This window comes from Homo sapiens, chromosome 21, assembly GCF_000001405.40.
Source record: "Homo sapiens chromosome 21, GRCh38.p14 Primary Assembly".
Taxonomy (NCBI): Eukaryota; Metazoa; Chordata; class Mammalia; order Primates; family Hominidae; genus Homo; species Homo sapiens.
Window position 1 is genome coordinate 39215848 of NC_000021.9, and position 14662 is coordinate 39230509.

The following is a 14662-nucleotide window of genomic DNA, read 5'->3' on the forward strand; positions in this document are numbered from 1 at the left end:
AAATTAGCCAGGCGTACTGGTGCGCACCTGTAGCCCCAGCTATTCAAGAGGCTGAGGTGGGAGGATTGCTTGAGCCTGGCAGGTCGAGGCTACAGTGAGCTATCATCATGCCACTGCACTCCAGCCTGGGTGACAGAGCAAGACTCTCTCAAAAACAAACAAAAAAACAAACAAAAACTAAGAGCTTCAGTTTCACTGTAAACAATCAAGTGGTTTCTGATGGGAATGCACATTCCAGTGTTAAATTACAGAGATAAATTACGTCGATAATGTGGACTCAAGATGACTTTTTATAATTTCTTAAAGTAGTTGAATTATAAAAGTTAAAATACAATCAACTGCTGTAAAAATCATTAAGAATAGGAAATTTTATACTTACCAGTGCTCTAGAAGCCAAAGATAAAAAGTCAGTGCCTCTGGGAAATTAATCTTCCAAAGGCCAAAAAGACCAAGTATTAACTATATAAATATTATTTTTAAATGTAGTTAAATAGAAATTTAAACATACAAAGAAAAAAAATAAAGTTATCTAACAACTTAACAAAATTTCTAAGAAAAACAGATTACTAAAGATTGAGGGTTGAGGCCCTGACTCGGACCTCCCTTCTCCAGCCAGGCCTGACCATCCCTGCAACTCTCAGCCTCCTACTCATGTCGGCTGTGAGAGCCTGTGCTTAAATAAGATATCAGGCCTTACTGGAGACACTCAAGGATAGGTTGAACAACTATTTTTCCAGAGCAGAAAGGAAACTCATGCATCAGAAAGGCCAGAAGTATATGACTGTATAAATAACAGAATCTACTCAGAACAGTTTAAGGAATTTCTTGGGACCTACAATAAACTTAGAGAAACCTGCTTTTTGGACTGTGTTAAAGACTTCACAACAAAAGTAAAGCCTGAAGAGACCACCTGTTCAGACCATTGCTTACAGAAATATATTTTTTTTAACTTTTAAGTTCAAGGGTACAAGTACAGGATTGTTACACAGGGAAACTTGTGCCACAGGGGTTGGCTATACAGATTATTTCATCACCCACGTATTAAGCCTAGTACCCATTAGTTGTTTTTCTTGATTCTCTCCTTCCTGTCACCCTCCAAAAGGCCCTAGTGTGTGTTGTTCCCCTCTGTGTGTCCATGTGGTCTTATCATTTAGCTCCCACAAATATATATATATATATATATATATAAATATATATATATATTTATATATATATATATATATATATATATATATATTTTTTTTTTTTTTTTTTTTTTTAATTGCTTAGACAGGGTCTCACTCCACCACCCAGGATGGAGTGTAGTGGCGTGATCTCAGCTCACTGCAACCTCCACCTCCCAGGTTCAAGCAATTCTCCTGCCTCAGCCTCCCAAGTACCTGCGATTACAGGCACGTGCCACCGTGCCTGGCTAATTTTTGTATTTTCAGTAGAGAAGGGGTTTCACCATGTTGGCCAGGCTGGTCTCAAACTCCTGACCTCAGGTGATCTACCCGCCTGGGCCTCATGAAAGTGCTGGGATTACAGGCATAAGCCAATGCGCCTGGCCTCCCACAAAAATTATTTTTAAATGACACAAAGAATATCCAAGAGATTTCAGGAATATCATATTCAACAGAACGAAGCCCTGGTAGCCAAAGCAAAACTACTTGGCCAATCACAATAGGTAACTCCAGATGGATGGACTTTTGATGAAAGACTGCCAACAGCTGCTGCACTGGAAATGAGGATTTATCTGACAGTTCCCTGGGAGCAGTAGCCCCCCTGTTAAACCATCTGTCATGAGTTTGGCAAATGAAAACCACTGGAGAAACAAAACCACTATTTACCAAGAATAATTAAAATAGAAGGTCTTATTGTTCAAATAATAAAACACAACATTTACTGAGGCCTTAAGATTCTGCACCTTGGTTACCTGATTAGAAAAACAAACAACTGTTTCTTCAATTATGGCTATTAATTTTAAAACAAATTATGTCTTCAATCATGTATGAGGATAGAAAAATTCTCATTACTAAAGTACCAGTGAAAGTTTACTGAAATAAGTGGAATAAAAGTAAAATTTCAGTGATATGGAAATAATCACTGAAAAAAAAACGAGGGTGAAATATGGTAGTCAATCTTCTGCCTGGCCCTACCCACACCTACCCATAGGCATCTAACACCATCTGACAATGAAAGAGAATAATGAAACAGAAAATGCTAATCAGCCCCCAATTCTACCACTATCTCTTTCTTTGTTTACCCTAGTCAATATTGCCAAATATAGCTTTTTAAACATTTTGAAAGCAGGTTTCTACTAACCTGTAAAATCGATTAACAAGTCTCATTCGAATTGTGTAAAGATCGGTTGGATAAGCTACTACAGTACAGTACTTCGGGTATGTACACAAATCAACAGGGCCTGCAAAAGCTGCTGCTATATCTGTTAGGGAAGACAGGAGAGTTTTTAATCAATAAATCCATTGCCTCTAAGTGGTACTTCTCTAGAAATCATTCATAAGATATGGCTACATTTAACATTACAGGCTAAATTAAAAGATAACCAATACAAAGTGTAGAAAAGAACAGAAACCTCAATTATGCTAGTATTTTTAAATACCTTTATGAAAAAAATTGAAAAAAAAACTTTTCATCCTAAAAAATAAAAAACTTACCAAGATTCAAAAGTTGATCTATACCACTGATAATTCTATCACATTCTTCATCTCTTGATTTCTGACCCCATTCACCAGCTTGTGGTTTATAGAGCAATTTCTCTAGCTCATCTGTTGTGACAGAAATACTAGCTCCTAATTCTTCAGGTGGATCAACTATGAATACCATAAAAAACAATGAGAGGAAGAAAAAAACACAAAAAATAAATATATACGGTATTAAAATTCAATTTTCATAGCTTATAAAACTAGGTTATCTCCACAGTCAAAAATAGAGTTCAAATGTGCAACTCTTTTAAAATTACTCATTGAGATTAACAAATTGCTTAAATTCAGGTAAAAACACAATCTACCTACCCTAACAAATTAAAAATTAAAAATAAGAGTGCCAGTATTGCAGTTTTCAGTCTATTTCTTCAAGGAGGCAAACTTAACCCTGAGGCCTCTGAAAACACAAATTGAACCTGACAATATTCAAAATTTTAAGCTTACATACAGTTAAAATTTTTAAATTAAAATTTTTAAAAAGTCAAGTCAAAATGGATAAATAATCCCACATGACAAATGGCTAATTTTCTTAAATTTTAAGGGAGCGCAAATGAAACAGACTGGTATTTCTTGAAAAAATAAGGAGAAGCAGGCAGGGTGGCTGACGCCTGTAATCCTAGCACTTTCAGAGGCCGAGGTGGGTGGATCGCCTGAGGTCAGGAGTTTGAGACCAGCCTGGCCAACGTGGCAAAACCCCATCTCTACTAAAAATACAAAACTTAGCCAGCTGTGGTGGGGCACACCTGTAATCCCAGCTACTAAGGAGACTGAGGCAGGAGAATAGCTTGAACCCGGAGGTGGAGGTTGCAGTGAGCCGAGATTGTGCCATTGCACTCCAGCCTGGGCAACAGGGCAAGACTCTGTCTCAAAAAAAAAAAAAGGAGAAAATCTGAGGAAGCTCAAAATATTTTAGCTTATTGAATAGTAGTTCTAACATACAGATAAGAAATGTCATTTACTGTGTACTGTGTACTGGCTACCAGGTTAACTCAGAGCACGTTTACAATGAGGGAACAAGGGCATTGGGAAGAGCATCATTTTAACAGCTGCTAAATGATGGAGAGAATGCTCATGGGAGCATTTCCTCTAGAAACATATCCATTAAGATTCCTGCAAACATACACACAAGTTTTATATAGAGCATTCTTTGGGAATGCTCTTAACTTCAGTAGAGTTGACCTATTAGAATTAAGTCATATGATGTAGTCTTTTAGCTGAGAGATGGGAATTTTTTAAACATGGATGATAAATGATTCCTATAAGCTTATAATTCATGTTCTTGCAAAAAGAAAAAGGATTTCCATTTTATTTTCTGCATGAACATAAAAGAAATGTGGGGGAAGAGGGCAGAGACATCCCACTGCCCTAATAAGCCAAAATGTGTATTTTTATACTGTAATTCAGAGTTATGCTTTCAGTATTTTATCTCATCAAAAGGAAGAGGAAAGACGCTGTACAGGCAGGCAACATAAAGTGCTTTAAAAAACACTGGTTTATCAAAGCCGGGATCTAAGTTCAAATCACATCTATACCACCTAAAAACTATGACTTTGGGCAAGGGGTGTGGGTGGGTGGGTGTGTGGGTGTGTCTGTTTTAATGGGGAGAAAGGGGGTCTCACTATGTTGCCTGGGCTGGTCTCCTCAGGTATTCTGGTGAATACTGATCAACCCACACGTGTGAAGAAATGACAGGAAGCCAGGAAAAGAACCAAATGAAAGTTCTGTGATAACAAAGGCCTGATGCACAAAAAGGCCAGCACCCACGCCTGTTCCCTCAGCCAGACTGAAAAAGCTGCATGATACATAGAGCAGTGGATACACTGCATAAAAGGGCCTTGCCTTAGAAGTCAAAAGTAAATCAGTTCTAGGCTGAGCACTGCTCCAAACCCATCTACCATATCTTAAAAAGATAAAATTGTTTCCGACTAGCTTAATTGTGTGACAGAACAAAGTGTAACACTTACAGGAATACAAAAATATACAGCACCCAACAAGGTAAAAATTCACAATGTCTGACATAAAATGTAAAATTATAACACAGGTAATATATTAGGAAATACCCATAATGAAGAGATTTATTAATCAACCAACCAGAATTGGCACATATGTTAGAATTAGCAAAGACATGAATGCAGTTATTATATTACGCATGTTCATTAAAAACATATATAAATGGAAGACATGAAACACACACCCAAATCCAACTTTTAGAGATGAAAACAACAAGCAGTAAGGTGAATACTATAAACACATTGGCTGGTGATACATAAGATATTCCGAAAGAAAATATAAATATATAAGATAAAAATATAAAAAGACTCAACACCAGGAATGGTGGCTCATGCCTGTAATCCTAGCACTTTGGGATGCCGAGGCAGGGGGATCACTTGAGGTCAGGAATTCAAGACCAGCCTGGCCATGGCAAAAGCCTATCTCTACTAAAAATACAAAAACTAGCCAGGCATGGTGGCACACACCTGTAGTCCCAGCTACTAAACAGGCTGAGGCAAGAGAATCACTTGAACCTGGGAGGTGGAGGTTGCAATGAGTGGAGATTGCGCCACTGCACTCCAGCCTGGGCAACAAAGCAAAACTACATCTTAAAAAAAAAAAAAAAAAAAAAAATTCAAAAGAGCACAATATGTGTTATTCATTTCTGAATGTATATCATCATTGAGGGGAAAAAACTAAATCTTTTCTCATAATGTCTATTTAGTGCCTAACTTGATGCCCCCCAAACGGTAGGCATTCAAGAAATGTGTATGAAACAAATATGTGATGTAGTTATATGATTTACTCTATAAGCATAGCTAATATTTCATAAAACAAAGCAATAATAACTAATATTTTCCAAACATAAAACTAAAAAGATGCATATGTAACAAATTTTACACTAACATAGTGTAGACACAGCAATAAAAACTGAAGACACAGCAATAAAAATTATCCTAATGAAACAGTAAAAGAAAATAAAGCAAAAAAACAAAAAAAATCCAGAAAAGCCCCGAAATACAGAGACCATTTAAGGGAACAGAAGAAATTATGATATCCCAAACTAATGGATAACAGTTAAAAATGAGGAAAGAATCTGAATATTTCTCAGCCAGGCTCCGTGGCTCACGCCTGTAATCCCACCACTTTGGGAGGCCAACGCAGGCATATCACTTGAGGCCAGGAGTTCAAGTCTAGTATGGCCAACATGGCAAAATAGCTGGGTGGCACATGCCTATAGTTCCAGCTACTCAGCAGGCTGAGGCACAAGAACCACTTGACCCTGGCAGGTGGAGGTTGCAGTGAGTCGCGATTGCACCACTGCACTTCAACCTGGGCAAAGAGGGAGACTGTCTCAAAAAAAAAAAGAAAGAAAGAAAAAAGAAATTGAACATTTCTACAAAGATATAAAAATGACCAATAAACAAAGGAAAAAATGTTCAGTATCATTAGGCATCAGAGAAAGGCAAATCGAAATCACAATAATACTTCCTATAAGTTAAAAAAAACAAAAGTATCCAGGATGTGAAAAAATTGGAACCCACATACACTGTTGCTGGAAATGTAAAATGGTATACCTGCTCCAAAAAAACCATTTGTCAGCCCTCAAAAGGTTAAACAGAGTTACCACGTAACCCAGCAATGCCACTCCTACATATGTACCCAAAAGAAAAAAAAACTTGCACATGATATTCACAGGAGGACTATTCACCGCCAAATAATGGAAGCAATCCAAATGCCCATCAACTGATGAATGGATAAAAATGTGTTATATCCATACAATGGAATATGATTCATCAATAACAAGAAATATCTTGGTTTCTAAATGCCATTCTCCAATCAAACAGGCCATGGCCCCTGAAAAACTGCCTGATTCCACAGCTGAGGTAAGGAAAGTACAAGGTGAGCCTTGAACACTGCATATTGCCAGAAGCTATGAAAACACTCAAAGGCGATTCAAAAGAAAATGTCAAATGGACATAGGAGCCAACATGAAGGGGTTCCCAGTGGCCAAATCTGCAATAAGGTAGCAACAAAATAATGACAACAATTGAACACTGATTTTATTTCACAAAAATCTGAGTACATACTAATATAAATAAATGGGAAAGGAGAAGATGTATCTTATAGTAGAATTCCAACTAACACATGTAAGACAATGAAAACAAAAAATCATTATTTGAGGCAAGAATTATCAACGGATGCTACAATTAGTGAGTGGAAACAGCATAAGAAACAAGATTTTTGCAGCACATAAATATATCCCCATGGGACACTAATTATAATGGAAAAAGTATTTACTTTACACTGGAGAAACCTGACACATACCCCCTAAATCAAATTATTAAAATCCTAAAATAATTGCACTGAGAAAGACACATTACCTTTCTGACATTTTTGCCAAAAATGCAAAACCTAAATTTAATCCAGAAAAACATCAAACCCAAACTAATGGAAATTCTATAAAATAACTGCCCAGTAATCTTCAAAAGCCTTAAAGTCATGAAAGACAGTGAAAAACGGAGGGATCCTGGATTAAAGACTAAGATGACATGACAAATCCAAAATGTGAAAGGATATTAGTGAAACAGACAAAATCTGAATAAAGTCTATAGACAATAGTATCGTATTAATAATTTCCTGATTTTGATCACTGCAATGTGCTAGCTGTATAAGAAGGGAAATATAGGTATTCAGAAAATCCTTGTACTATTTTTTTTAACTTTTTTTAAGTCTGAAATTATCTTGAAATCAAGTTTTTTAAAGTGCTATAAAAAATGGAGAGTACATATTGAAGAGAAATATCAAAATGCAGATATTCAGAGATTTTCTTGAAAATTATAAAAAGAGAAAAACATCAAAGGATGTTACAAATCAGTAAAAACACATAAAGAAAGCTTGGTGGTGAAAACAATGGACACAAGAGATATAGAGTACCCTTTCAAAAAGTTTCGCAAAAGGGAAATAATTCAGTAACAAAAATGCTTCATGAAGTCAAATGTAAGGTCTAAGAGACATATTCAAACCTGACTGGAGAAAGGTAGGAGGAAATTAAAATTGTTGGAGGGGATGAGCTAAGTGTAGGTACCAGGCCCTTGGAAGGCCAACAGCAGTGGGATGCTAGCACTGGAGGACAGGCTGGCTTTAAATAGTTGTCTATTTCAGTAGAAAATCCATAATAAGACAACTTGAGGTAAAGCAGAAGACAGATGGAAGTCAAGTTCAATCTTTTCCTTGAAGGAAGACCAAGGGTAAAAGATTAAGAATGAGGTAGGAAAAGTAGAGGCTACATGAAGGATGTAAATTTTTTGTTTTGTTTTTCTGAGATGGAGTCTCGCTGTCGCCTAGGCTGGAGTGCAGTAGCCGCAATCTTGGCTCAGTGAAACCTCTGCCTCCCGGGTTCAAACAATTCTCCTGCCTCAGCCTCCCAAGTAGCTGGGATTACAGGCACACGCCACCATGCCCGCCTAATTTTTTGTATTTTTAGTAGACACAGGGTTTCACCATGTTGGCCAGGCTGGTCTCGAACTCCTGATCTCAGGTGATCCATCTGCTTTGGCCTCCCAAAGTGCTGAGATTACAGGCGTGAGCCATGGCGCCCAGCCAGGAGTTAAGTTTAATGCAGGGTTACATGAGAAACGACAGCAAGCTATTAAGGTACAGCCAAAATCAAGCTGGAATCTAAGGTCAAGAATTAACAAAACAGATAAACACGATGCTGTTGTCTTCTTTCAGTAAAGTTCAGTTACTGTAATAATTTGAATATATTGATCATAGAATACAAATATGTTTGTTCCATGTGCACTGGCAAATGTACATATTATAAAAATAAAATGTTTTCATTATTTAACAAATATATATACCATTATCAGGAATTGGTTCCATGTCCCATGGGCTAAGTTTTTCAATTTCAGTATTATCCCACCTGTTAAAAAACAACAAATCTCTGGTTAGCCTTTCATAAAAACAAAATGTGGATAATAGGTATCCATTATAAAAATACAAAATGTGAAAATTAACCTCACTGCAGCAGTACAATTTTAAATATTAACAGTAAATTTTTTTAAGAAGGATATATTATTAAAATAACAGGTTTAAGAACAAAACCAGAAATCCTATGTGGCCTGCACCCAAAGTGAACAATAACTGAAAGACAAGGCATGAAGCCCTTGAATTCCACTACAGCCACAGTCAATGGTTTTTATCCCATTGCCAATGAAGAGGCGTCAAAGGTTTCTTTGAAGAAGATTAATGATATAGTATCTGCTTCTGAACTAGGACACTGACAATACGAGGTAAAGGAAATATTAGGTGGCTACAGAAATAGTTCCAGGAAAGCAAGCAGAACCTGAACCAAGGGGAGTACTGGTGAATAGGAAACAAAGAGTAGGTGCATGTCTGAGAGACATTTCGGGTCAGCCTGACATGACTTAATGACAGATAAAAACCATGTTTTTTTAAAAACCAGAAATGTATTATTTATACAGCAACCTGCCACACTGAATTACTGGGAAATGATTAGTTTTCATCTGTATACAAACCTAACAATATAACACTGGAAATGACTATCAGGATACTGTGGTTGATATGGCTCTTGACTTAACACTGTTCCAAACCACCAAGCATCATCAATAATAGAGCGGAATCTGTCACCTAGGAGAGAAATGATCAAGTCTGAGGCATTTCTCTGCTAACATTCATTAACATTTTTTTAATCTACAAAATACCATATGATACAGATAAAAAAGCCAAAAGCACAATACAAAAACAGGCAAGCAGCGCTCCTAAACAAACCAAGAAAAATATGGCATAAAAAATTTAACTTTTAGATTAAATGCATTTCTAGATGTATTTTACAACTCTAACACTTCAACCAGTGAAATAAACTGCACTAGATCTGTGTTTAACATTCATTACAATAGAAACATGAACTGCTGCAGTAACCATATCTCTTCCTTCTTACCCTTCCCACCATTTACAAAACAAAACCAATGAAACAATAAAAGTCACCTATCCAGCACTGATGATTCTTCGGGATATAGATCAACAGTTCTTTTCTCAAGGAAAGTTTTATAGAAATAATCAAAATTAAAGCTACAATTTATCCCCAAGAAAGAATATAATATACCTGGCAAACAGTCTTGAATAATTAAAGTATGCTTACAGTGAATTCTTCAAAGGTTTGAAAAAAAATAATGCCATAACTACTAGACCTACATGTTTTAGTCTTTAGCATATTTTCAAACTTATGTAAACATGAGTTTTACATATATTTTACTTCAAAATCACTTGAAACCATAGCCCCTGAAAGAAATCTAAGGAGACTAGTATAGCTTTAAACTTACAATTTAAGACAAACCACACCATGATTTTATCCAAATCTCTAATACCCTAATTTAACATAAACATTAATTACAACTGAATGTAATAATAATAAATTATTGTCATAAAATCAGCTGCCTCAATTTTGAGAGGCCAAACATAAAAACATGTTAGAAGAGAGTCTTTGATATAAAAAATTAAGTGTATATTTTTCTTGCTATTTACCTAATACTAGAAGATAATTTCAGTTTAGATAAAAATATTTCTTCATACAAAAACAACCCTTTAAATAAAAAGGAGCCTGAAAAAATTAAGTTTTCTCATAATAAAAGTGTCTTTTCTATGTTTTTGCTAGCTGATCACCCTGGTAATCTTATGTTAAGGCTTTTCAAATAAACCTACTTTGGCCTTTCAAGAGAAGGATAAAAATCCACTGTAAAAATGAAAACAAGCAACTTCTTCTTGCCATACTACTCAAATTCCACGCAAAAATGGGGAAGCAAAATGAATTAAAGTGTAGTATAACAGGTCTGGTCCAATAATTTCTCAACCACAAAAATAAAACAAAAACCACTAAATTACAGGAGGCATCTGGGACTCCATCTCTAGAGTTTAACTGTAGATAATTCAGTTTTAAAAAAATTAATGGACATGTTGGCAAAAATGAGAGCCTCTTACACCTCATGGGAGCTGAAAAATCATAATAGCTGGGAAGCTTTAAAGTTATTTGGAACACAACTATACAACCTGCTAATGTTGCTTCATGTTATTTTTGTGGCTGTATGTTTTTCTTCAAGAAAAATTTTCTCTGCATCTACTCCCAAAATAATCTTGATTACTTGTGTAGATGTTACCAGGAGAATAATCTATAAAGAGGAGCCACACGCCCTGACAATCTTTCACGTCAGATGAGGATGATTAGGGACTTTATCTAAAATTTACCTTCTTGTAGTACCACACAAAAAGGCAGCAGTGGCCAGATATGGTGGCTCACACCTGTAATTCCTACACTTTAGGCAGGCTGAGGCAAGAGGATTGCTTGAGCCCAGGAATTCAAAACCAGCCTGGGCAATACAGCAAGACCCTGTCTCCACAAAAAAAATTAAAAATTAGCTGCACATGGTGCAGCTTCCAGAATTTACATGTTTGTATGCACTATAATTAAGAGTCCCACAGCCAAAAAGGAGGCTGAGGTGGGAGGATCGCTTGAGCCCAGGAAGTTGAGGCTGCAGTGAGCTCTGATTGCACCACTGCCCTTCAGCCCGGGCAACAGAGCAAGACCTTGTGTCCAAAAAAAGAAGGAAAGAAAGAAAGAAACTGCAGTAACTAGAAAGATCAATGTCTTAACATCATTTATGAATGTGTACACCAGATGACACAGCCTGGGTAAAACTTAGTATTTCTAACAAAAATCCAAGAACTGATAAAAGAACGAACCATCCTACTTCTAACTCAATACACAAGCTCCCTGGATAGCATTACACACTGAACATATATTTGTACACCTGTGAAAACAGGTACTACAGTTACTATTAACAGTTGCTATTACTACCCAGCCTAATGACAGTCATTCAATCATCAATTATATCCTGAGATTAATAATCTACACAACTCTGAATAAGTGAGCCCTCCTTAAATGATCATCACAAAAATCACATTCGAGTAATTTAGTACCTACATTGAGGTACTAAAATTACTCCAATGTGTAATTTTACTCGAATGTGTAAAATTACATTGAGGTAATTTTAATTTTTTAATTTTTCTGCCCACCTATACATTACATGGTTATAAAGCAAAGTGTATATGAATTTTTTATTTCTTAACAAAACAGTGTCAAGTCTTCCCATTTAAGTCTACGTTGTTATGATATCAAGGGTAAAATAATTGGGTATACCAGAACATTTTCAGTGTGAAATCTGAAATTACTCTTCAACCTTCTGATCATTTTAGATCCTAGTATAATTGTGTAAATTATGCCAATGTTACATCAAAGATAATTATATACAATATAGTACAGGGAAGTCTAAAAGGAAGTAAGTCTACCCTAGCCTATAGTCAAGGAGTGAAAATAATCTTTTCCAAACGTCATGAACCAAAAGAACAGAAGAAAAGTTGCTCGTCTAAAAAAGTCTACATAATAGGGCTGGGCACGGTGGCTCACACCTCTAATCCCAGCAGTTTGGGAGGCAGAGGTGAGTGGATCATGAGGTCAGGAGTTCGAGTCCAGCCTGACCAACATGGTGAAACTCTGTCTCTACTAAAAATACAAAAATTAGCCGGGCGTAGTGGCGCACACCTGTAATCCTAGCTACTCAGGAGGCTGAGGCAAGAGAATCGCTTGAACTTTGGAGGCAGAGGTTGCAGTGAGCTGAGATCACACCATTGCACTCCAGCCTGGGTGACCTAGGGAGAAAATGCGTGCCATGCCCACCGTCCCCCGGCCCCTACCAAGAAAGTCTGCATAATCAGTAAGTACCAAGCCGTAAGCAAAATATATTTATAGGTCACTTATATCTCTTCTGGAATTTACATGTTTGTATATACTATAATTAAGAGTCCCACAGCCAAAAAGGTAGACCAATAAAACAGATTAATTTTTAAGGGTATATAAAACTTAGTAAGGATAGACTTACAAGACTGCCAATTCCTCTGTCTTGCTTCATCATAAAATTGACGCAATACAAGAAAGTCAATAACATCTGGCATATCATGATATCTAGACAAAAATTTAAAAAATTGTTAAACTCTCTACATAGCAGGTTATATAGTCTAAAAGCAGCACTGTCCAAAAGAAACATGAGATCTACGAATGTAATTTTTAATTTTCAACCAGCTATATTTTAAAAGGTAAAACAGTAAACTTCATAGCATATTTTAAATATATCCAAAATATTATTTCAATATGTTATCAAAACAAAATAGAGATCTGACATATTTTTTCTTCATAACTACTCTTCAAAATGCAGTGTGTACATTCACAACACATTCATTTCTTTAAAAAAAAATGTTTATGCCTCATACTCTGCCAAGTCACATATTAAGACATTCAATCAAACCATCCATATTTCAAGTGAGCAGTAGCCACATGTGACTAGTGGTAACCTTATTAGACAGCACAGGTGTAGGAAATTATTTATTCTGAATTTTTTCAAAAACAAAGGGCAGAAAAAATTTGGCCCGTATGTCAGAATTCCCCACCCACATAAGCAGCATGAAAACCATATAAAACAGACTGCCCACACTTAACTATAACTGTGACATGCCTACTATGACTTCAGGGTCAGGGATGGGTTTCCTAGCCATCAGAAGCTCGAGCCACATCTTAGGCTATCCACAGTGCTCTACCAGTTACCCTGGAGTTAAATGGGAAGGGCATGCTAATCATTCAATCAGCAAAATGGCAAATTTAAATTTAAGTAATTCCATTTTAAAAAATAATACATACCTAATAGAGAAAGATTTGTCCATAAGTTTTCCAGTTGCTGGATCTATAAATGCTAGTTTTAGGCAACAGAGTGTAGGGGGCCCAACTTCATATCGTATTCCAACTATTTTAACCAATTCTTGATCCTTTAACAGACATATTTTTTAATGGTTAAAATAAAAGCAATTCCTTAATACTATAATTCTCCACATACTGTTATATTAAGTAAACTCATAATTTAGGCTTCCAAACCCGCAGACAAGTTTAATTAATACCATTAATTACATTCAATTTTGCTAAAGTTAATCTCCACATATTTAATACAGTTTCTAATACAAAGAACATCCTTTAGAAAATACATTACAAAAGTGTAAGATTGAAAACACAAATCTCGGATTAGCGCAATATCTAACGACAATCACTGTTAAAAATCTAACATATTTCCTTCTGGCTTTGTTTTGGAAACAGGATCTCACCATGTTGCCTAGGCTGGAGGGCAGTAGCACAATCATGGCTCACTGCAATCTCAAACTCCTGAGCTCAATCAATCCTCCCACATCAGCTTCCCGAGTACCTGGGACTGACTACAGGTACAACATGCCACCACACCAAGCTAATTTTTTATTATTTGTAGAGACAGGTCTCCCTATGTTGTCCAGACTAGTCTCGAACTCCTGGGCTCAAGTGATGCTCCCACAACAGCTTCCCAAAGTGCTGGGATTATAGGTGTGGCCTGCCACACCCAGTCAATGCACATTTTTATTTATATAGCTTTATATTATACAGTGAAAATGTGTAAGCATTCTACTTATTCATAAGTGTTCTTCAAAATCTTGATATTAAGTTTCTGCCTAATACATTCAGTAAGTAATATTTGTTGAGAATCTACCATATGCTATGACCTCTTCTAGGCAGTAGGGACAGGACGGTAAACAAGTGAAAGTCCCTACCTGGATGGAGTATCCATCAAATGGATTTGCCATAGTCAACCTTCCCCCCAGTGTCTGCTTCTCTGATACTAGGAATACAACAGATCATTCATCCACTTATTCACTGAACAAATGTTATTATTATAATGTACCAAACAAAGTGCTAAGCATAGTTTTCATTATTCACAGCAGTTATGTTCTATAGTCACCTAGAACACTGAAATAAAATACTAAATCAGTGCTATAGAGAATATATAGGGATAGGTTCCTGCAAAATTCTGGTCACAACA

At 36.3% G+C, this 14662-nt stretch overlaps 1 protein-coding gene and 1 pseudogene across 8 annotated transcripts in view; one reads left to right on the forward strand and one right to left on the reverse strand.

Annotated features, from left to right (window-relative positions):
- BRWD1 (bromodomain and WD repeat domain containing 1) overlaps nucleotides 1-14662 on the reverse strand; it is a 137037-nt gene that overhangs the window by 31672 nt on the left and 90703 nt on the right. For 5 of the 8 annotated variants that reach the window (XM_017028373.2, XM_011529611.2, NM_018963.5 and 2 more), the window contains 6 exons: nucleotides 13465-13589; nucleotides 12653-12735; nucleotides 9239-9350; nucleotides 8561-8622; nucleotides 2658-2813; nucleotides 2305-2425 (listed from right to left, as the gene is read on the reverse strand). In XM_017028373.2, the coding sequence (XP_016883862.1) occupies nucleotides 2305-2425; nucleotides 2658-2813; nucleotides 8561-8622; nucleotides 9239-9350; nucleotides 12653-12735; nucleotides 13465-13589 (659 nt within the window). Of the gene's footprint in view, nucleotides 1-2304; nucleotides 2426-2657; nucleotides 2814-8560; nucleotides 8623-9238; nucleotides 9351-12652; nucleotides 12736-12928; nucleotides 13373-13464; nucleotides 13590-14393; nucleotides 14462-14662 lie in introns of those variants that run through there. The other 3 variants (XM_011529613.2, XM_017028375.2, XM_047440841.1) reach the window with 3 other exon arrangements.
- TIMM9P2 (TIMM9 pseudogene 2) lies at nucleotides 807-941 on the forward strand (annotated as a pseudogene).